The sequence below is a fragment of the Homo sapiens genome, chromosome 17 (assembly GCF_000001405.40).
Source record: "Homo sapiens chromosome 17, GRCh38.p14 Primary Assembly".
In the NCBI taxonomy this organism is placed as follows: domain Eukaryota; kingdom Metazoa; phylum Chordata; class Mammalia; order Primates; family Hominidae; genus Homo; species Homo sapiens.
This window is the reverse complement of record NC_000017.11, coordinates 38097974-38123059: the sequence shown is the minus strand read 5'-3', so window position 1 is coordinate 38123059 and position 25086 is coordinate 38097974. Positions and strand designations below refer to the sequence as shown.

Genomic DNA, 25086 nt, shown 5'->3' with positions numbered 1-25086 from the left:
CTTCTTTTCAAAGTCCAAAGTATCTATGTAACAAATTACGTATTTCATTGTAAATGAGAGCAGTCATAGGCTAATGGTTAGAAAGTATGGCTCACTTCAATAGGATGGCTGTTATCTAAGGCGTCAAGCTCCTGGGCACGGGTGTAATCAGCAGAAACAAACTGAGTCCAAATATCATACTCTGGGAAGCAGTGGTCTACACACAGATATTCAATCCAGGATGCAAAACCTTCATTTAACCAAAGATGAGTCCACCATTCCTAAAAACAGAAGATGAAAATACTTAAAGAAATTGAAATGATTGTCATTCTACTAATCTAAAACACTCACATGTCCCTTCCACTATATTCCAAAACTCACAATTTAATGACCTAAAATTCAGTTCAAAACATTTCGCAAAGAACTCACATTTCTGAAAAAGAGAGAAGACTAAAAGAGATGTCAAGAAAGGCCAACTGGTGATATTAGAATTATATCTGAGGGTCATTTTCTTTTCCTTTCTTTTTTTTTTTTTTTTTTTTTTTTTTTGAGACAAAGTCTTGTTTTGTCACCAGGCTGGAGTGTTCACCAGTAGCTGGGATTACAGGCATGTATCACTATGCCTGGCTAATTTTTGTATTTTTAGTAGAGATGGGGTTTTGCCATGTTGGCCAGGCTGGTCTCAAACTTCTGACCTCAAGTGATCCACCTGCCTCGGCCTCCCAAAGTGCTGGGATTACAGGTGTGAGCCACCATGCCTGGGCCAAAGGATATTTTCAAAACATTGTAAATAACTTCTCCCCCAAACCCAGACAGGGTCTCATTCTGTTGCCCAGGCTGGAGTGGCAGGGGCACCATCGTAGCTCACTGCAGCCTTGAACACCGGGGCTCAAGCAATCCTCCCGCCTCAGCCTGCCAAAGTGCTGGGATTACACACGTAAGCCAGTGCACTCAGTCCTAAGTAACTTTTTAAATACCAAAGGTAGAAAAGGAAGAAGAGGGAAAAAAAAAATAAGCCCATATATGGAAAAGGAAAAGACAGCAGATAAATATAGGCAAATAGAGGTGGAAAATATAATCACGTAGAATTTAGTATAGTAAAGGATTATCTCTGAAAAACAAAAACAGAAAACTATCAGAGCCAAATAAAGAAAAATGGAAATGACTGGGGAAAACCACTCACTAATGAGTTGAATGTTCAAGAGAAACTGAGAAAGAGTACTGCTTATATAAAAATTATGTGAAATTAAACAAAAATGTAGTTCAGTAATGAATGGTGTTTAAGCACTTATGGAATATGAAATTATCACCTGTTAAATAAGAATGCATAGTAAATGGAATGGACAAAGAATATGAGTGACAGATAAAATCAGTTTTTAAAAAATTTTAAAGATCTTAATCTAAATTTTATTAAAGTTGATTAAGCCTATTAGTGAAAGAAAGCAGGCCAGGCACAATGGCTTGCTCCTGTAATGCCAATACTCTGGGAGGTCAAGGCAGGAAGATCACTTGAGCCCAGGAGTTTGAGATAAGCCTGGGTAACACAGTGAGACTCCATCTCTAAAAAAATTAAAAAGTAAAAAAAAATTAGCTGGTCATGGTGACACACACCTGTGGTCCCAGCTACTTGGGAGGCTGAGGCAAGAGGATTACATAAGCCCAGGAAGATGAAGCTGCACTGACCCATGATTGTGCCACTGCACTCCGGCTTGGGTAACAAAGTGAGATCCTATTCTCCATCCCCAACCAGTCCCCCCAGAAAAGGCCAGGTGTGGTAGCTCATGCCTGTAATCCCAGCACTTTGGGAGGCTGAGGTGGGAGGATTGCTTGAGCCCAGGAGTTTGAGACCAGTTTAGGCAACAAAGTGAAACCCTGTCTCTACAAAAGGCAATACAGTGAAACCTTGTCTCTACAAAAAGTGCAAAAATAAGCTGGGCATGGTGCCACACACCTGTAATTGCAGCTACTCAGGAGGCAGAGACAGGAGGATTGCTTGAGCCCAGAGGTCAAGACTGTAATGAACCATGATTGTGCCATTGCACTCCAGTTTAACTGACAGAGTGAGACTCTGTCTTAAAAAAAAATTATTTTGATATTAAGTGATAAGTGGCTATTTGCCTAGTAGCTTCCTAAAATAAACTAGCATAAAATGAAACTTATTTTCCAACCTATCCCTAAGCCCTTGGAATTTCAGTTCTAATAACTAGAATAGTTACATAAAACCAGTAAAAAGTTGTTTAATAAGAATGTACACATTTCCCCTACTAAAATTTATTGCTTGTAGTTTCAAAATAAAATCATAAAGTTATCTCAAAGCCAAGCAAAAAAATTATTTGGTACAAAGTAGCAAACTCGCTGCATTAGAAGAAAAGGCCATTTCTTCACATATTTGAATACAGGCACCAACACATAGTTCCACATGAAATTATATTTCTTTTTTTTTTTTTTTTTGAGATGGAGTTTCGCTCTTGTTGCCCAGGCTGGAGTGCAGTGGCGTGATCTCGGCTCACTGCAACCTCTGCCTCCCAGGTTCAAGCGATTCTTCTGCCTCAACCTCCAGAGTAGCTAGGATTACAGGTGCATACCACCACGCCCAGCTAATTTTCTATTTTTTTTTTAGTGGAGATGGAGTTTCGCAACATTGGTCAGGGTGGTCTCAAACACGTGACCTCAAGTGATCCACCCGCCTCGGCCTCCCAAAGTGCTGGGATTACTGGCGTGAGCTACCGTGCCCGGCCTGAAATTATATTTCAAAGAATTTTTTTCACCTGTAAAATTTTAAACATCCAAAATAAAAGGAAAAGATTTATTTTCAAGGGTTGACTTTCTGTAGAAACTCTCTGAGACACGTAACAGTTGATAAATGTCTTACATTCTTATTTATATAACGTATGGACTCAATCTACATTCAAATCAGGTTCTGCTCTTTGGCAGCCTAAAATGTCAGGGAATCTAGCTGGCTCCAGAATATCCAGTTATTTAATTGCAGAGGTACATCTAGTTCACTTATTAAATCCTGTGCTCCCAAGCTCTAACACAGTTGGCATTCATAAATAGTATTTACTTAGAGTAAGAGTGAAAAATCAGGACTGAAGGACAGAGATCATTACTGCAAACATTATAAGGATTTCAACAGAACAGCTGGAATTTTAATACAGCTTTATTCTGCAGTCACTCTGCAGTTTGTTTACTTTTATTTCATTAAATTTCAACTTAACATTTTAGGCAATGAAAAAACTGACTCCTAAAAACATTTCTCTCTAATTAAAGATCAGTCTGTTATTCATCAGGTTACTTTTCAGCTGTGAGTCAGATTAACAAATAAGATTCAAGAAACTACAGTTAGCCTGGAATCTCACTGCATGATTCATTCATCTACACCTAAGAGGAATCTTTTCCTCTCACCCAAATTAGTATCTTGACTTTTCCCATTTGCAGACAAATTTTAGAACAGTTTAGGAAGTGTCTGTTGAATAAAGACTGTCCATATGCCCTTGTTCAATGCAGAGATTCTGATAAGCCCTTTCAAAGTGGACCTTTTAAAATAATACTTTTCTATCACTCAATTATTTTTTGGCACAGTGTTGCAGCCAAACTTGAAATACTATGTAGCCAAAATAATGTGGAGTAGGATGAAGATAAATATATTTGAGCACTTAAAAATATTAAATACCATAGTAACAAGATTTCCAAACCATTGATGGGCAAGTTCATGTCCCACAACCAGAGCAACCCACTGGCGGGATGAAGAACAGGAATTTTTTGGATCAATAAGCAATGCAGTCTCCCTATGTTTAAAAAAAAAAAAAGAGAAACAAATTTAAACAATAAAAGTGGGCATGCATAAGTTGGGAAGATTCAGACAGTAAGTCAGATGGACAAGTTAGGCTTTAGAGATATTAGGAAAATATTTCCTAATATGGAAAGAAAAAGTTTCACGAAGATTAAAGACTACCCCAACAGAATTAATACAACAGAATATCAAAGATGTGACACAAGTTTAATTATCAGTTTGTTGATAGAATAGCTGCCTGAAATTTTGGGAAAACATTGTCTAAGGGATTAGCGATTACTGTGCTAGATGGAGAGAGAAGAAAGTCCTTTCATTAAATGAGGGGAGTGGTGGAGGAAGATGCATTCCATAGTCCCAAAAACAGCACTGAGCCGGCCGTTCAACACTTAGCTCATCTAAGAAGGCAATTGAAAGTAGAAGGCAAAAACTTGTTTACAGACAGACTCTGCTTTTAAAAGTTATTCAACTCACATGTTTATGTTGTGGTGACAGACATGTAAAAACTTGGCTAGAAGATATGAAATTAGGGAAGGTTCTCCAAGCTGGATAAATAGCTGTGAAACTACTGGCAGGAAAGAAAGGCACTGCAATGAGAAACTTAGCCAAGAATATATCTAAAAATGCTACTACCGCCAGATGCTCACTTTAAAATCTTACACCCTCAGACAGTAGCACCAAAGGGAGAGGTGTCCATCTGCATTCTTGAAATGTGCATGGAAGTGGGGGAAGGTAGAAAAATTTACACCATATCGTAAAGCAGAAGCTACTCAACTGTGATTAGGAGGGAAGCCCTTTTGAAATCAGTGATTTGAAAAGATAAGGCAGGGTAATACATCATTAACATACCTATAAGTAACAAGGTCCCAGTTCTCCATGGCACCTTCACAAAATAAATATAAACATTTATTGAGATATATATATATATATATATATACTCTTGCATCAAAAGTCACAAAATTTTAAAAAGTTATTACAATTCAGCAATAAAATGAAATTTACTTTACCAGCTGCAAAGTCTGCAATAGCAATGAGATCAATTTTAGGTAGAGGATAAGGAACATTGAAGTAGTCCTTATAAAAAGGCAAGGTTTTAGCAGCAACCTATAAAAGTATAAACAAAATAACCATCTAATAAATATGTTATTATAATTCATATTGAAACCCACAAAGGAATCCTGTTGCAAGCCAATGTATCTTAAATTACTAGAAATGAATCCCAGGGAGCCCTACCTCCGAAGACTGCCTTAGCTCCAAACTTTGAATACAATGGCCAAACTTTAATCCATTTATAACTTGATATGAAAAATATAACTACATATTTTCCAACCCATTCCCTAGAGAAATTCCACTCTTATATTCTCTTAATTATTATTTTGTAAAATAACGAAACACCAAGGTTGGCATTTCCTAAATTCTATTAAAAATAAACCAAGTAGCACAACTTTCAGATTAAATTATAAATAACTGTACTAATAATTGACCAGAAATGTAAATTCCCCAACCTGGAGTTATGGACTGCTGGAACAATCCTCTTCAAGTACATTTACCTCTAATGCAAATTTTCCTTGTTCTGCTTTGCCAACAGGAGTGTAAACACAGACACACACACCATCTTTTGACCTTGTTTCTACAAAGTCATATTCACCCACAACAAATGCCACCAGATATGTAGATGTAACAGGTGTGCGGGCAAACTTCACTTCCACTAAATTTTCATCATCAGGGTATGGTTTCCGGTCAATTACATTCTTTAAGAAAGAAAAAAAAGAAAAATTTAAATAGGTTTACATTAATACCATAGAGCAAATACCAGCCAAAAACTGTAGGCTTTATTGCATCTCTTTCCCCCTTTCTATTCTAGCATGGCTTATTTCTCTACCCCAATTCATCCAGTGCTTTTATGCTGTCTTTAAGAAGGAAAGTGGTCTGATAAAACACTCATACTAAGAAGCTGGAGGCTGAAGTGTTAAAACTACCAAGGACCTGTGAGAGAAAAGAGGAATGGACTTTTCTCGAATACTTATTATAAGCCAGGCATTGGGATGATTTAAGTAAGGGCTTCATACTTTTCAACTGACATAAGTTTAGGAGAAAATGACTATTAATAAAAATAAAATAGGGGCCAGGCGCGGTGGCTCACGCCTGTAATCCCAGCACTTTGGGAGGCTTAGGCGGGCGAATCACAAGGTCAGGAGATCAAGACCATCCTGGCTAACATGGTGAAACCCCGTCTCTACTAAAAATACAAAACATTAGCCAGGCATGGTGGGGGGTGCCTGTAATCCCAGCTACTTGGGAGGCTGAGGCAGGAGAATGGCGTGAACCAGGGAGGCGGAGCTTGCAGTGAGCTGGGATCACACCACTGCACTCCAGCCTGGGCGACACAGCGAGACTCCTTCTCAAAAATAAATAAAAAAAATATAATATAATTGTAGAATCTCCCATTTCAAAGGATACAAACTTCTAGATCGAGGGCATTCTCTACCAAAGTTGGCTCTAAGCTTATTTGTGAAGAAATTTCAACTTTACCTTTGGAGTCCCTAATTTCCTTTGGTGTTCTCCCTCTTTTTCCTATTCAGGCTCCATTTCCTCAAGCTCTCTCTATTCTTCCTTCCAAGGAAGACTTATTCAAGAACACACTGATAAATTCACTCATACTAAAGTGTGAATGAATATTTCTGCTTAATGTATTAGCCTCCTCTTCTAAGAATATGTGTGAAGAGAATGACATTCTATTTATGGGATGCTCTCCCCCAGTAAATACATAAAAGAGTTATTTTCAGGTGCAGCAGGTTTTTCCAAGTTCCCCACACAAGACAGTCCTAGACAACACACTTCAAGTGGGGAATGCTTACCCTGTTCATGAATGAGATCAATAACACTGGTGAAGAGAATACATTCCAAGAATACAAACAGCCAGAAACCTAAATATACTTCATTATGCAGCTACATCTTTTGAATTTTTTTAACTTTTTAAAAAGATAGAGACAGGGTCTTGCTCTGTTGCAACCTTTTTTTTTTCCCCCCGAGATGGAGTCTTGCTCTGTCACCCAGGCTGGAGCGGAGTGGCGCGATCTCAACTCACTGCAGCCTCCGCCTCCCAGGTTCAAGCAATTCTCCTGCCTCAGCCTCCCAAGTAGCTGGGGTTACAGGTGCCTGCCACCATATCTGGCTAATTTTTGTATTTTTAGTAGAGATGGGGTTTCACCATGTTGGCCAGGCTGGTCTCGAACTCCTGGCCTCAAATGATCCACCTGCCTCAGCCTCCTGAAGTGCTGGGATTACAGGTATGAGCCACCATGCCTGGCCTATTTTTTTTTTTTAAGAGATGGGGTCTTGTTCTGTCACCCAGGCTGGAATACAGTGGCGCAATCATGGCTCCCTGTAGCCTCAAACTCCTAAGTTCGAGAGATCCTCCCACATTAGCCTCCCAAGTAGTTAGGATTACAGACACCTGCCACCATACCTGGCTAACTTTTAAGTTTTAAATCTTTTGTAGAAATGAGGTCTCACTATGTTGCCCAGACTGGTGTCAAACTCCTGGCCTCAAGCAATCCTCCTGCCTTAGCCTCCCAAAGCACTGAGATTACAAGCAAGAGTCACTGTACCTGGCTTTCTTATGACATTTAATAAGTCAAGACCTTTTTCTTTTTTTTTTCTTTTTTTTTCTGAGATAGGGTCTGGCTCTGTCACCCAGGCTGGAGTGCAGTGGTGTGATCTCAGCTCACTACAACCTCCGCTTCCTGGGTTCAAGTGATCCTCCCACCTCAGCCTCCCAAGTAGCTGGGACTACAGGTGTGTGCAACCACACTCAGATAATTTTTGTATTTTTAGTAAGGACAGGATTTCACCATGTTGGCCAGGCTGGTCTTCAACTCCTGACCTCAAGCGATCTGCCTACCTTGACTTCCCAAAGTGCTGGGATGACAGGTGTAAGCCACCATATCCAGCCCAAGACTTTTGCTTTTAGTTACTATAAATCTATTAAACTTGTCAATTTACCTCTCTAAATTAAAAGAAGTAGATAATCTTATAAATGTATTTAACAAGGAATTTGACAAGGAGAAAATCCTCCAAAAATAAAGCTATCAAGAAAAAGAGGTCTTGGCTGGGCATGGTGGCTCATGCCTCTAATCCCAGCACTTTGGGAGGCTGAGGCAGGAAGACAGATTGACCCCAGGAGTTTGAGACCAGCCTGGGCAACATAATGAGACCCCAACTCTACAGAAAAAAAAAAAAAGAAAGAAAAAGAGGCTTATTGAAAATAAAGAAAACTATTATTTATGTTCCTATAATATACCAGCACTGTGGTAGGTGGTTTCATATTATCCCATCTAATCAGCAAACTAAATCTGCTAAAGCCTATTAAAATTTTAGATAAACTTATAAACACATACATACCATGTTTGATAAAGCTACTCTGTCTTTAGGAACAACCAATGAGATATCAAAAGTTGCTTTGATAGCAGGCTCATCCCAGCAAGGAAAAGCCCTTCGGGCATCAGTAGCCTTAAGAAAAGAATATGAAATATAAATACCTTAGAATTAACCTAACAAGTTATTTCATAAAGCAGTCGCCATTTCCCTCTGTCATTCATTCATTCCCTTGTTCAAATATTTACTTTCTCTTCAGTGCCAGGCAACAAGCTAGGCATTAACTAGAAAGAAAAGACAACACTTGCTACCACTGCCATTCCAGCAAATATCCAGGAACAGTGTCTGCTATGGATTTTAACAATATATTATAATTATTTACAACTAAATTTTTGTTTACATTTTAACATTTCAAATTTAATGCAAATGCCTTCAAATCAATAATGTTAACACAACACAGAGCACAGAACAGTAAAGAGTATGCTATAAGAATTCAAAGTTGGGAAAACATGGTAAGTTGCCTCTCTGGCTTTTATTTTTGAATTAAAAATAAAAATATTCTCAATCTTTGATGTGCTTTGTTCTTTATCTGGAATGGCAGCAATGGGAATAAAGACAGATGCTCTATCAATTCAAGACAGGTCATTCATTTAATGGCACTTCCATATGCTACACATAAAACTGTCGCCACTTGACCTACTTGAGTCCTTACTCTTTCATTAAAAATTTAAAAAAGAGCAACCTTATGAAAGCAAAATAAAACTTAGGGGTTCTGCAGGGTATCAGTTATAAAGGAAAGACACTTCAGTAAACAGAATTTTCCATTTATTTAGTAAATAAAATGGAACCAATGACAAGATACTGTATCATAAAAAGAAACAACAGACTGGGTGCAGTGGCTCATGCTTGTAATTCCAGCACTTTGGGAGGCCGAGGTGGGCGGATCACCTGAGGTCAGGAGTTCGAGACCAGCCTGGTCAACATGGTGAAACCCCGTCTCTACTAAAAATACAAAAATAAGCCAGGCATGGTGACACATGCCTGTAATCCCAGCTACTCGGGAGGCTGAGGCAGGAGAATGGCTCGAACCTGGGAAGCGGAGGTTGCAGTGAGCCAAGATTGCACCACTGCACTCCAGCCTGGGCGACAGAGCAAGGCTCCGACTAAAAAACAAACAAACAAACGAACAAACAAACAAACAAACAAACCAAAGAGGTAGAAGAAACTTGGCTGACTACATTCTCAAAAACATTAAATAAATAATGAATTCTATCAATGAATAAAAAAGACATCTGAAAAGAAGGGAGAGTATAAGGAAAGAAATGGCAGCACAGAAGCATTTAAATTAGAAGCAGCAGCAGTAGAGAAATGAATTTATACTAAAGGAAATTAATGACAGATAACAAGATTTAAGTTTGAAAATATCTAAAGGACAAAGTGATAAAAGCAATTAAACATAATTTGAGAGACAGATACTAGAGCTAAACTGAGTATTAACTGAGAAGGGAATGGAATGGATATCACAGTGAAGATATAACAGAAAAACTCTTTCACACTGAAAAATTACCTGAATCTAAAAATCAATAGGGTTCACCAAGTACTATGCAAAAATCAATGAAAAGTGAACACCTGGTTTAAAAAACAGTTTAATTTTCGATATCAAGATATAATTTAACAAGCAAGCAGGAAGAAAATAAAGCAAAACGAAACAACATCTTACCTACAAAGGAAGAAGAAACATTTTAGTCTGTGACCCCTCCTCTTGAAAAAGTGAGATGTAGAAGACTTTGGAAACAATATTCACAGACTTTTGAAAGTGAAAAATTGTAAGCTGATTGTACTACTCTTACAATTGAATGAGCTGGGCCTATTACTCATGGCAAGAGAGAACTCACACCACAGGGAACCACTGGTGTCTCCATAAGAATGTAAGAAAGAACCCACTATACGATTTGGGATTTGGTTTACATGATTTGGAAGAGGGTCTAAGTAAACAGGGATTCACTCTAGATTGAGTGCTGCAAGAAGTCCTATGAGGCAATTCTATGGGTATGTATCTCAATAAATCTTATCTATACGGAGGCCAGACTAGAGCAAATCTAAAACCGTAATTGGTAAAGAAGCAGTAGTCACTCATTTTAACTGAGAGATGGAGATGTTTGATATTTTGCGGGTAGCATAGTGATCCTGTATGTACTGTACCTAGGCAAAATTATGGATCCCTTGTTTTGTCTCACTTTATTATGGTCTCAAGTAGCCTTGTCTAAAGTTGGTATTCTGTAATATTATGTCTAATAGGGAGAATAACACGGGCTAGCTGTGAGTGCCAGACAACCTCTGGATGTCAAAAGTTGCTCTTTTTACCTTTTTTCATCAACAAATCTATATACCCAGTAAATCTGGTCATGTATAAAGGCAAATGAAAGATTTTTCAGAAAAGCAAAGGTTTAGGAATTACATTACCCACATACCTTCTCCTAAAAAAAAAATTGTTTAGAGACATACATCAGCCAACCATTCCAGGATGAAGTGTTCAAAGTGGGTAGAGAAAGGCATTGGAATCATTCAAACACAGAATTAAACCTAAATATCTGTGGCAAATATTATTCTAAACAGAAGGTAACATAAAATTATTGAAAGAGAAGATACATCAGGTAAAACAAATTAGTAGTAAACTGGATAAAAAATTTTAGGTTATCCCAAACAAGCAAACAATATAGGGATATGGGCAGAAACATAAGAATGGATATCATGAATTGTTTCTTTATCCATACTGAAATTTATAGAAATAAATTTAATTAGATTTAACACTTAAAAATACGACTAGCAGATTCAAAACAATTTATATAATTTGCAAATACCTGACAAATAAAAATCATCCTGGCCTACGTAGGACAGCAAATATATATATGTGTGTATATATATATGTATACACACACACACACACACACACACACACACACACACACAGAGAGAGAGAAAAAAAATCAAAGACAGCACAGATACTACAGTAAGATAAACAAAAGATGTCAAAGAAGGAAAGGAATTCTAGAAAACAGCTAATAATACTGTAGGAAAAGCCATAGGTGTCAAATACTAAGAGAATGATTTTAAGAAAGGTACACAGTATATAGGCAATTCAGGTATCAAAATGTGTCGTGTGTTTGAATGTCTGTGTGTATAACTGTATATAATCATTCCCCAACCCATACCCTTAATTCCCTCCTTTCTATAGAGATAATGGCTAAATATAAAATAAAAATTCTAAAATTGTGAATACAATCATGGCCAAGGGCACCTAGCCTCAAATAATCACCCCACATAATAAACACACCTTTGTCAGAATGCCTAATTTAAGAATAATAATATTTTAGAGAAGAATAACCCATACCTCAAACTGTGTTACAGCAGCATAGCGCACCTCTCCAGAAGGGGTAGTATACTTACTTCTATAGAAACCTTTCATTTTGTCATTCAGCTCTCCAACAAAATCTATCTTTAAGGTTCCTGTACCTGTGATTGAAGATAAATAAAAAACACTTTTATGGAGATGTTAAACACAGTTACCAAAAATATGTCCTCAAGACACTATATTCAGTTAGCTATTTACAATGTTCAAATCATTCCTTCCTTTTTCAAATATTCCTCCTGGCAATGGAGAGAATACAGTACTTACTAAAGTAAAAGGCAGACTAATCCTAAAATAACTCTTGAAAGTCATGTTTAGGGTGACTGCCTAAAAAGTTATTAACTTAGTCTCAAACTACCAATATGTGAAAATAAGAACAGGAAAGGAAACAAACATTTATTCTTAAATGCCTGATATGTGCTATTGTGCACAGTGCTTTTAAAATATATATAACTATTTATAAACCTGGAAGTAGATATTGTCCTCATTTTTTCAGATGAGGAAACTGAGGCTGAGAAGCTAAATAACTTGTCCAGTGTCATAAAATTAGTAAGTAGTGAGAATGGGATAAAATGTTAAGTCCAGAATTCATGCTCTCTGCCAATTATACATGTGAATTGGTCCTTTTACACAACTTCATGCATAGAAAGAGAAATGTAGCCAATTACTCTATCAAGATAAGACACTAAATGTTTACTCCAAATGGAACACTGATTGCATAATTTTGTAAGGAGCTATAGGGAAGACCAATGATTTGATCAGCAACAGGGCATAAAACAAATTCTTACAAGTCACCTCAATCATTTGAAATCTGACAAAGAAATACATTTAATTAATAAATTATTAAATGCAAATAAAAATACAACTTAAATATGTATTCTATTGTATAAGAGCAAAAACAATTTAGACAAAAAAGTGAGCTTTTTTGAGTTTATATACTTTCTTTTTTATAACATAAAAAATTATAATTATTATCTAGTAATCATCTGCTAAATACAGATGCATGGCAAAACAGTAATCCCATTCTGTGTTTTACAAATCAAGTCACGAAAAAACGTAGAGGAATGGTGACTTTTTAGTTGACCATTTTAAAGGCCCTACGTATATCAAGATTTAAAGCATGGGAAGTCTAACAAATCAAAGATAGGGCATGACTATAAAGTAATTAACCAATCATACCAAACTTTTATATCCTAATGTTTCAAATTGTCATTTTGGAACGCTAAAGAGCAATGACATTTGACATTGTTCAAAATGTTGTGACTTTCTCTTTCTCTCTTTTTTTTTTTTGAGACAGAGGCTCACTCTGTTGCCCAGGCTGGAGTACAGTGGTGTGATCTCGGCTCACTGCAGCCTCCGCCTCCTGGGTTCAAGCAATTGTGCCTCAGCCTCCTGAGTAGCTGGGACTACAGGCGGGCACCACCACGCCTGGCTAATTTTTGCATTTTTAGTAGAGACAGGGGTTTGCCATGTTGGCCAGCTGGTCTTAAACTCCTGGCCTCAAGTGATCCACCCACCTTGGCCTCCCGAAGTGCTGGGATTACAGGCATGAGCCACTGTGCCCAGCCCCTCTGACACTCTTTTGAATGATCTCAAAGTCAAATCTTCATCTTATAAAATTGAATTTGCTTTTGGAAAGGACCAAAAGTTATGGGGAGTGCGAGTCTACAGAATAAGTGAATGACAAACTACAAACTGTCTCTAGCCTGATGCCTCAAACTGGTTCTGAAAGTAATTTAAGTGAAAATTTCAGACCTTTAGAGCAAAGTCACCACTAATGAAAGTGCTATATTCTTAATCATTCTGAGAAAAAAACAACTCAACTGAAGCTTAATTGAATAGACATTTGTGATGTTTATTTTTTAGAAATCAGATATTTGTAAATATCTAAAGAGGACAATGAATACTTTTTTCTTTAAAGAGAATGACAGGTTACTGGGACAGTATATATGGATATAGTAAAATAATTGATAATTCTAAATGATACTAAAAAATTAAACTATAAAGCAAAATTTAAATTAAAAATTTTTAATTTCTATTTTCTTTAGAAGTTCACTTAATTTTTTTAAAAAAGCAAATGTATTCACATTAATAAAGTTTGCAAAGAACGTCTAACAGATTATAAAAACCTACTACCTTTAATGGAAACTATATGATGGAATTTTATGTTACAATTCCATAAGTGGAATTGCCCAGTCTGTTTCACTAAGTCAGTCAACTGTTAAGATGTTTTTTAAATATAATTCATATTTCATGGTAAATCTACTTGCATTTTTTCCTAGTTGGAACATAAGTGGTTTTAAAACTCATAACTAAATAAGAAAGACTGCTTACACTTTTACTCGGTTTTAAATCTCCAAGGCCATCAAACCATAACAAGATATTGACAGTGACCACTTCCAAAAAGTGGCATACTAAACAAAATACAAAGTATTGGAAAGAGTTATTACCTGAAATTCAAACAAAACACAAGTTAAAGTATTTAAAAATCATTAATAAGTTTAATTAGTGTCACATTATATGATACCAATTACAAAGTATTTACTTACTATTCATATAGTAGAATTTTAGGGCAAGTAGGAGAAAAAATGACTTTTTAATAAATTTCATTTATCAAATTTACACCATATTAATGAACGGATTGCCAAATTGTCTAATTTTATACCTATCAACACACATAATTTACACCACTTCCTCAAATTAGATACCTTATTTCATATCCAATGTATGAAATATTTATGTTTGGGGTTGTAAACCTTTTGAAACATACATCAAGCTCGTTTATAAAGTAAACAACTGAAAAATTGGGACTTCCATCAAAAACCTTAAATGTTTAAAGCTTAGGAGAGTATAACAATTGTAAAACCTGGAGTAAATCTTGAAATACTTTAATAATAAGAAATTTAATGAGTCTACTAAATGCTATAAAAATAAAGAGATTAATTTATACAAAAAGGGAATAAAGATCGTTGCCTTTGTGTCACCACCTCTTTTTTTCTTTGGAAAATGGAGTCTCAGTCTCAGTCTGTCACCCAGGCTAAAGTGCAGTGGTGCAATCTCGGCTCACTGCAACCTTCGGCTCCCGGGTTCAAGCAATTCTCCTGCCTCAGCCTCCTGAGTAGCTGGAACTACAGGCGTGCGCCACCAGGCCTGACTAATTTTTGTTTTTAGTAGAAACAGGGTTTCGCCATGTGTCACCACTTTTTATTATCTTGTTTTTGACTCTTCAAAATGCTGACAACTACCAGTGTTTCTCCATATAAATGCCACCCTCAGGACCCTCAGCCACTAATTCTAAGGTTGTTAGACCTTACAATAATTATGGTAATTTAATCACTATCCCAGAATGGTGCCAATTTCAGAAAAGTAGGTTTTACTTAGCTGTATAATAGCTTGCATTACTGTTAAATTTGATGAGGCTAAACACAAAGGTTATTAATGTCCTCCTAAGATAAGCTCAGTATTTGCTTCATTATCAGATAGATCACTTGTGCAATCTGTCTTGAAAAAGATTAACTTCATTTTTAAAGCAAACCTTGGGAAAATGTGAAAGCCAATGGTTTCAAACAGATATTCAATAATTCAATATTGTCGGCTGGGCGTGATGGCTCACACCTGTAATTCCAGCACTTTGGGAGGCCGAGGCGGGAGGATCACGAGGTCAGGAGATCAAGACCATCCTGGCTAACACAGTGAAACCCCATCTCTACTAAAAATACAAAAACAAAATTAGCCGGGCGTGGTGGCGGGCAGCTGTAGTCCCAGCTACTCGGGAGGCTGAGACAGGAGAATGGCATGAACCCAGGAGGCAGAGCTTGCAGTGAGCTGAGATCGCGCCACTGCACTCCAGCCTGGACGACAGAGCGAGACTCCATCTCAAAAAATAATAATAATAATAATTCAATATTGTCACACCTGCAAGATAATTTTTCTGTTCTAATATTTATATCAGTTGTTATATTAGCTCAAAATTGTTATATTGGCCAAAAATATCAAAAATTATGTTAAATCATACTATACTAATGGTCATAACCTTCTCTAACTTGTTTGTTATTATTTGAAATAGCTTCACCATTTAGCATGTCTGCTGTAAACAGACCTTATCAAGAATGATACATCTCTTATATACTAGTAATAAATGGCCTCCAATATTTACAGTTAAGGGGAAAAGAAGAAAGGTGCAGAACATTATGTATGGCATGGTGATTTCTGTGTTCTTAAAAAGTATATATATAAATGCTTACAAAAGCAGGGTATAGTTTTGAAAGGAAAATTTCATTTCATTCTGTTGAGGAATGGAGCTGAGAAAGAAGACAGGGTAGACTGGCAAACAAAATTTCATTGCATAGCATTTGAATTTCAAATTATGTAAATGTACTATGTTTTTGAAATATTTAATTTGAAAAATAAAGATAGCACAATGTGGTGGTTAAAAGTGCAGACTTTTGAGTTAAACTGCTTGGGTTTAAATCCCAGCTATGTTACTTACTAGCTATGTTACCTTGGACAAATTATTTAAGTTACTGAAATCATTTTTCTGCCTTAGTTTATCTACAAAATAGAAGTAACAGAATCTGGCTGGCGTAGTGGCTCATGCCTGTAATCTCAACATTTGGGAGGATGGCAAGATCCTCTCTCTGAGGTAGGAGGATCACCTGAGGCCAGGCATTTGAGACCAGCCTAGGCAACATAACGAGACCCTGTCTCTACAAAAAAATTTAAAAATTAACCAGATGCACTGTCATGTGTAGGCAGTCCTAGCTACATGGGAGGCTGAAGTGGGAGAATCACTTAAACCCAGGAGTTTGAGGCTGCAGTGAGCCGTGACTGCACCACTATACTCCAGCCTGGGTGACAGAGAGACTTTGTCACAAAACAAATCTACCTCAAAAGGTTGTTGAAAGGACTAAATAAATTAATATTTTTGAGGCACTTAAAACAGTACTTGGCACAGATTATGTCGTGTGTGTGTGTGTGTGTGTGTGTGTGTGTGTAATACATATCTTCTATCATGTTAGAAGTTTCTGTCTACTCTTCCCTGGTGAATTCTAGCAAATAAACTGATTCCTTTTGATAAATATAGAATGTTTAACTTTTTAAATTTAATGAAAAATGGTTACCATATTTCCTAATGCTGAACAACAATTCAATCTACGCTTTTATTTTCTATACTGGCTAGGTTTATATATCTTTTGGGACTATTTTTAAATATCAGTTTTTTAATATTTCTGCCCCTCACTTCACTTATTTCATTTGTTTCTGCTCTTAAAACTTTCTTCTACTTTCTCCAAGTTACCTTTTGTTTTTATGAGTTTAATGCTTAGCTAATTAATTTTCAGTCTTTCTTCTTAACTAAATATTCTAATATTTTATCTGCATATGAAACATGTTTATCCCTAATGTTTCATATGTGGTAATTTCATTATTCAGTTCTAAATATTTTCTAATTTCCATAACAAGTCTTCTTTGACTCAATTATTCAGAGGTATAATTTTTTCAAATATATAAAAAGGGATTTTTTTCATTTCTCTTTTTCTATTGACTTCTAATTTTTTCACAGTGTAAACACAGAATATATATAGTCTGTAATGATATAGATTTAAAACTCTAAAATTTTTTAAATTTCTATCAAAGTAATAGTTCACAGTTTAAAATACGTAAGCTCCAGGCCCTGCTCAACACTAGGCCCTACTCCCCACACCCTGCCCCTAGAAGCAATCAATTTCAAACTCTGTGACTTCTAAATGTCTTGCTTACACAGCTATTTTTTCTTTTCCTTTCTTTGAGACAGTCTTGCTCTGTCGCCCAGGCTCGAGGGCAGTGGTACAATCACGGCTCACTGCAGCCTTCAATTCCTGGGCAAGCAATCCTCCCACCTCAGCCTCCCAAAGTGTTGGGATTACAGGCATGAGCCACGACCACGGCCTATTTCTTCATTTTTCAACTTTAGACATTTTCTCTTCACTGTAGAAAGTCATGCTTTAGCTAATCCATCCCCCACTCCAATATCTTTTACAAAGAATCAAATTTTCTATGACCTTGCAAATCTGAAAATATTTTTACTCCGAAATTCAAAGTTGGGCTAAGCATGCAATCTTAGGTTGAAAATCAGATTCACTTTGTATTTTGAATGAACAGCTTCATTAGAGTCTAAGTTTCCACTGTTCCTAATGGTAAGTCTAGGACTATTCTGATTCCTAAATTTTAAAGGTAGTATGCCACCTGCCTTCCCTCCTATTGCCCCCTATCCCAGACAGGAACTTTCTGGGAGTTTTACTTTATCGCAGAAGTTCTAAAATTTCAGTCAGTGTGGCAATTTTTACATTTTTTAAGCTAGTCTCTCTCAATGGTGTACCTTTGCAAACTGAAGGCTCCTGCTCTATCAGTTCAAGGAAATGTTCCTGTCTTTTTGAGTTTCTCTTCTGGCCGGGCACAGTGGCACACGCCTGTAATCCCTAGCACTTTGAGAGGCCGAAGTGGGCACATCACCTAAGGTCCGGAGTTCGAGACCAGCCTGGCCAACATGGTGAAACCCCAACTCTACTAAAAATACAAAAATCAGCTGGGCGTGGTGGTGTGTGCCTGTAATCTCAGCTACCCAGGAGGCTGAGGCAGGAGAATCACTGGAACCCACGAGGTGGAGGCTGTGGTGAGCCGAGATTGCACCACTGCACTCCAGCCTGGGTGACAGAGCAAGATTCTGTTGCAAAAATGAAAATTAAAAAATCCTCTTCCCATTTCCTCTGCTTTCTGTTTTACTAGATGGATGTTGGTTCTGCTGGACTGGTTCTCAAATCTATTTTTCTGTTTTCTATCTGTTTTTTCTACTGCTTGGAAGTTTCCTCAACTTCATCTTTAACACTTTTACTGGGTTTTTTATACCTATCATAATTTCCAAGTTTTCCTGCTGTAATTCTTCCTATCTGATGGCATTCTGTCCTGTCCTTGTTTAATGCACGCAATGCTTTCTCTTAACTCTCTAAGGATAGTAATTAGCTATGGGTTTGTTTTTTTTTTAACTTTCTTTAGATTTGTCTTTGCTTTTTCCAACTTCCTTTATTTCTATTATACTTATAATTTTGCTTTTTGCCCTATCTTTCATTAGAAACTTTTCGCAAATGTCTGTTAAATGCTACCCCAGTGACTTTGGGCTTGGTCATGCTACTTGCTTTGGTCAATGAAATGTGAGTAGACATCAAGTATACCACCATCACACAGAAATTTTATTTTTTATTTTATTTTTTATAGAGACAGGGTCTCACTACATTGCCTAGGCTGGTCTCGAACTCCTGGGCTCAAGCAATCCTCCTGCCTCAGCCTCCAAAAATGCTGGGATTACAGGTGTGAGTCACCACGCCTGGCCATGCAGAAGTTTTAAATGTGTCTTTGTGGTCTAGCTTTCTCCCCATCCCTGAGCCTCTGCCCTCTGCCATGCATGATACAGAGAGTGGCTGCTCGCTGACTACTAGTCCTGGAAAGACAGTTGGGAGCCAAGTGGAGCCAGCAGAGTTGGTGATATGGCTGCATATGATCAGCAGTCCTCATGGCCCATGTGTAAAAAAGAAAGAAATCTCAGTGGTTATAAGCCACTGAGATTTGTGATCCTATCTGTGGGTTAAATTATATACATAAATTTATATATACATAGGAATATTTCTAGACAGATTCACCAGACAATGGAAGTAGAAGAAATCAGCGAAAGAATCTCCTTCCTTTTCAAATTATATTCTTCAATAGCTTTTAATACATGTTCATGGCAAAGCATTTTTTGTTTTGTTTTGTTTTGTTTTTTGGGACGGAGTCTCACTCTGCCACCCAGGCTGGAGTGCAGTGGTGCGATCTCGGCTCACTGCAAGCTCCACCTCCCGGGTTCACGCCATTCTCCTGCCTCAGCCTCCCGAGTAGCTGGGACTACAGGCACCTGCCACCATTCCCAGCTAATTTTTTGTATTTTTAGTAGAGACAGGGTTTCACCGTGTTAGTCAGGATGGTCTCGATCTCCTGACCTCGTGATCCGCCCGCCTCGGCCTCCCAAAGTGCTGGGATTACAGGCGTGAGCCACTACGCCCGGCCCATTTATTTTTATAATAATTACACATAAAGGGCCTCCAAGAGCACTGAAATAAAAGACTAAACATCTCCAATTTAAATTTTTTCTAAAAATAATTTTATATTAATTCAATAGATTCTCAGTAGGAAAATTGTGAAAATCAGACAAAAGATATAAATAAGAATAAAAATCACCAATTATGTCAACACCCAGACATAATTATCATTTTATTTGTGCCATTTAGAGACATGATTCACCACCTTAAATATGTAATTTTATATTCTTCTTTTCAATTTTACATTATAATAAGCACTTTACAGGGTTAAGAATTCGCAAACCTCACTTTTAATTGCTAAGTATATTTCACTATATAGATATATCATTCCTGGCTTGATCATTTCCTTAGTGTTGAACAAATATATTAATTATAATTTTTTACTACCGTAAGTAATATCTCAGACACTTCTGGGCATAAAGTATTTTCTGTATTTATGACTTTTCCTTGGGATATATTCCTATTAGCAGAATTGCTGGGTCAAAGGACATGAACATATTTAGGCTCTTGATATACTGCCAGAATGCTTTACAAAAAAATTACATGGATTTATACTCCCCCCAGCGATATCAAGGCAGCCATATCATTGGGAATTTTTAAAATTTCAGCTCACATGAGAAGCAAAAATTTCTCATTACTAGGAGGCTCAATATCTTTTCACATGTTTATTAGTCATTTACATTTTCTTCCTTTTGAATTATCTGTTCCTTTTCATTTGTTCATTCATCAAAGTCTTAGTACTTCACCAATTGATTGGTATATAATTTCTTCCACATATACTAAGCTCAGAAAGTCTATTTCTTTGTGCTTTTATACCTAACAATAGTAACATATCAACGTATCTTTCTTTCTGTGCCCTCAATAACACAATACCTATTTGATCTCTGGTTGTATATCAAAATCATCTGTGACCATTCACTTCAGGGATTTGGATTGAATTAATAGAAGATGGAGCTAGGTAAAAGTATTTTGTTCGTTTGTTTTAGACAGAGTCCCACTCTATCACCCAGGCTGGAGTGCAGTGGCATGATCTCGGTTCACTGCAACCTCCACTTCCTGACTTCTGGCGATTTTCTTGCCTCAGCCTTCTGAGTAGCTGGGATTATAGGGATGAGCCACCACACTGGGTAATTTTTGTATTTTTTGGTAGAGATGGGGTTTTGCCATGTTGGCCAGGCTGGTCCCTAACTCCTGGCTTCAAGTGATCAGCCCGCCTTGGCCTCCCAAAGCGCTAGGATTGCAGGTGTGAGCCACCACGCCTGGCCTAGGTAAAGGTATTTTTAAAAAGGTAAAACTGGAAAACAATACATTACATTCTAGGATAGAATGATCTTTAGTTTTTGTCCTGTTTTTCTTGGCTTGTTTGTTTAAAGAGAATATAGAGTGACAGGAGGTGGAAACCCTGCTTTTCGTAGCCCAACTTCCGCAGAAGGAAATGCTGGTGGCCCAAAAGTTGCAACAAACCTCTTTAAAAAGCTCTTAATACAGCTGGGCGCGGTGGCTCCTGCCTGTAATCCTACCACTTTGGGAGGCCAGGGCGGGCAGATCGCTTGAGATCAGGAGTTCAAGACCAGCCTGACCAGCCTGGCCAACATGGCGAAACCTTGTCTCTACTAAAAATACAAAAAAATTAGCCGGTGTGGTGGTAGGCACCTGTAATCCCAGCTACTCGGGAGGCCGAGGCAGGAGAATCACTCGAACCTGGAAGGTGGAGGTTGTAGTGAGCCAAGATCATGCCACTACTCTCCAGCCTGGGCAATAGAGTAAGACTCCGTCTCAAAGTAAAAAAAAAAAAAAAGCTCTTAATACTTAATCTGCTAATAACAACGAGGGAAAAAATGGCATACAATAAATTTCTCTGGAGGAAGTCAGATGTCACTATATTCATCACGAGATTTTACAAAAGCTATGTCTCTTACCTGTTTGCAGAGTACTAGGGAAAGACAAGGTGACTTTTTCATCTTCATTCTGATAGTTAAATCCTGTAGCATGTATTTCTGGAATGAGAAAAAAAAATACTTCACAATTCTGACTGGACTGACAAGACGAAATCAAGACTGCAACATTTTCAAGAGCAAAATCTCTACAAAAACTAAATATTCTTAATTTGGTGAATTAAGTTCCTATTAGCAAGAGTTTCATTTCAAATGAGCCTATTCTAGGTTACATTAACTACATTAAATATGCTCCTTAAAAATAATTACAAATTCTTTAAAATTCACAAAATGTCAGTGATGTACAGGAAAGAAGGCTTTATAAATGTGATGCTTTTCTATCAGATTCCTGTGTGACTATGATATTGTGATATTGCAGTCTTACTCATGAACATTTGAGACTTGGCAACTTGCCAAGATTTCAGTGTTAAAGATACATCAAGGAAAGGTCTGTTCCCCAAAGGTAAGTAGCAATTCAAACTAAGATATAAATCATACCCACTTCTGGTAAAATTCTTTGTTGTGGCCAGGCGTGGTGGCTCACGCCTGTAATCCCAGCACTTTGGGAGGCCGAGGCAGGCGGGTCACCTGGGGTCAGGAGTTCAAGACCAGCCTGACCAACACGGAGAAACCCCGTCTCTACTAAAAATACAAAACTAGCCGGCTGTGGTGGTGCATGCCTATAATCTCAGCTACTTGGGAGGCTAAGGCAGGAGAATCGCTTGAACCCGGGAGGCAGAGGTTGCAGTGAGCCAAGATCGCATCATTGCACTCCAGCCTAAACAACAACAGAGAAACTCTGTCTCAAAAAAAAAAAAATTATTTGTTGTTACATGAAAACAGGTATGCAAATTGAATTAAGGCTTTGACTTACTCTCTGCCAGGAATGAGAAGAGACTGCTTATTTGACTGATACTTTAGGATGCTTGGACATGTTAGGGAAATAACCAAAGACACCAACTTCCAACTATGTCCTATCCCCATTCCAAATGAAAAGCTGGCCAATCAGGCCGGACATGGTGGCTCACACCTATAATCCCAGCATTTTGGGAGGACGAGGCGTGTGGATCACCTGAGGTCAAGAGTTCGAGAACAGCCTGGCCAACATGGCGAAACCCCATTTTTACTAAAAATATAAAACTTAGCCAGGCATGGTGGCAAACGCCTCTAACCCCAGCTATGCGGGAGGCTGAGGCATGATAATTTAGAATTGCTTGAACTCAGGAGGCGGAGGTTGCAGTGAGCCGAGATTGTGCCACTGTACTCCAGCCTGGGCGACAGAGCGAGACTCTGTCTCAAAAAAAGAAAAAAAAAAAAAAAGTATAAGGTAGGATGTAGAGAAACTGGAGCATATATTGATAGTGGGAATGTAAATGGTGCAGCCACTTTTGGAAAACAGTTTGGCAATTCCTCAAAAGGTTAAATACAGAGGTATCATGTGATACAGCAATCCCATTCCTAAGTATATGTCCAAGAGAAATGAAAACACATGTCCACATAATGTTTGTATACAAATGTTCATAGTAGCATTATTTATAATAATCCCAAAATGAAAACAACTCAAATGTCCATCAACTGATGGAATAGATAAAATGTGGTATATCCATACAACTGAATGTTATTTGACAATAAAAAGAAATGAAATAGCTGACACATGCTACAATGTAAATAACCTTGAAAACATTATACTAAGAAACCAGCCACATATTTGTCCATAACAGGGCAATCTATGGAGGCTGAAAGTAGATTCATAGTTGCCTAGGGCTAGGTGATAGAGGGGAAATAGGCAGGGTACTTTCTTTCTGGAGTTCAGAAAGTGTTCTAAAATTGATTGTGATGATGGCTGTACAACTCTGTAAATAGACTAAAAACCGCTGAATTGTATGCTTTAAATATTAATAGATGACATGTATGGTATGTGAATTATACATCAATAAAGCTATTATTGAGGTGGGGAGAAAGGAAAGTACTACAGAAAGACAAGGGAGGAGAGGTGGCCATGAGTACCTTTATCAGTCACAGGATGCTGTGGGTAACAATGATTCAGATTACATAACATTTTACAGGCAAGATGCCCATAATTCTTCCTTTCTTTTATGAATCACCCAAATATAGGATTTCAAATGTTTCTGCTGTCACTATGGTTCACACATTTTTATAAAGCCAAAATCTCTACAAAACCAATTAAGAAACTGTAATTTCAGATTTTAAAAGAACTTTAATAAATCCTCTAATCAAATCTTCCTCATTTTACAGATGAAGAAAATGAGACATATAAAGTTAATGGTTTGTCACATGTTAACTAGCTAGACTACAACTCAGTTCCTTCACTTCTATTGCCAAAATTATTTCTACAATCACAAGCTAGCTCCTACATTTGTTTGGTTTTGTTTTGTTTTTTGAGACAGGGTCTCACTTTGTTGCCCAGGCTGGAGTACAGTGGCACTATCTCAACTCACTGCTACCTTTCCCATCAGGTTCGGGAGATTCTCCCACCTCAGCCTCCGGGGTAGCTGGGGACTACAGGCGTGAGGTGCCACTAGGCCCATCTAATCTTTTGTATTTTTAGTAGAGACAGGGGTTTCCCCAGGTTGTCCAGCCTGGTCTCAAACTCCTGGATTCAGGCAATCTACCCACCTCAGCCTCCCGAAGTGCTGGGATTACAGGGCTGAGCCACCGTGCCTGGCCCAGCTCCTAAATTTGAATAGAAATCAAATTTGACAAGAATCACTTCAATGCTTAAGAATGTTCCTTTCTGGGCTGGGCGCAGTGGCTCACGCCTGTAATCCCAGCACTTTGGGAGGCCGAGGTGGGTGGACCATGCGTGGTGGTGCATGCCTGTTATCTCAGCTACTTGGGAGGCTGAGGCAGGAGAATCACTTGAACCTGGGAACGGAGGTTGCAGTGAGCCAAGATGTGCCACTGCACTACAGCCTGGAGACAGAGTGAGACTCTGTATCAAAAAAAAAAAAACAAAAAACCTACAGCTGTTGAATAAAAAGGTAAACAACCCAATTTAAAAATGGCAAGACTTAAACTTCACAAAGGAAAATTTATAAATGGCAAAAAAAAAAAAGCACATAAAAAAGTGTTCAGCATCATTAGCCATTAAGGAAAGGCAAATTAAAATCACAATGACATATCACTACACATCCATTAGACTAGGCTATTAAATGACTGACAATAAAAATGTTGCCCAGGGCCAGGCATGGTGGCTCTTGCCTGGAATCCCAGCACTTTGGGAGGCCAAGGCAGGAGGATCACCTGAACCCAGGAGTTCAAAACCAACCTGGGCAACACAGGAAAAATAAAAAAAAATTAGTCATACGTGGTGACACAAACCTGTGGTCCCAGCTACTCCAAAGGCTGAGGCAAGAGCATTGCTGAAGCCTAGGAGGTTGAAGCTGGAGTGAGCCATGAACATGCCACTGCACTCCCATCTAGGTGACAGAGTGAGACCCTGTCTCGAAAAAGAAAAAAAAATGTGCAGGG

The 25086-nt window shown here is 37.8% G+C and overlaps 1 pseudogene across 1 annotated transcript in view; it reads right to left on the bottom strand.

The window, feature by feature from the left end:
- Nucleotides 1–4695: 4695 nt before the first annotated feature.
- The window catches only part of LOC101929950 (puromycin-sensitive aminopeptidase-like protein), a 40103-nt pseudogene continuing 19712 nt past the window's right edge, over nt 4696–25086 (bottom strand). The window contains exons 2-6 of the transcript NR_164156.1: nt 21580–21657; nt 11538–11659; nt 8174–8281; nt 5320–5520; nt 4696–4873 (exon numbers count right to left, since the gene is read on the bottom strand). The product of NR_164156.1 is annotated as a puromycin-sensitive aminopeptidase-like protein (transcript). The remainder of the gene's footprint in view (nt 4874–5319; nt 5521–8173; nt 8282–11537; nt 11660–21579; nt 21658–25086) is intronic.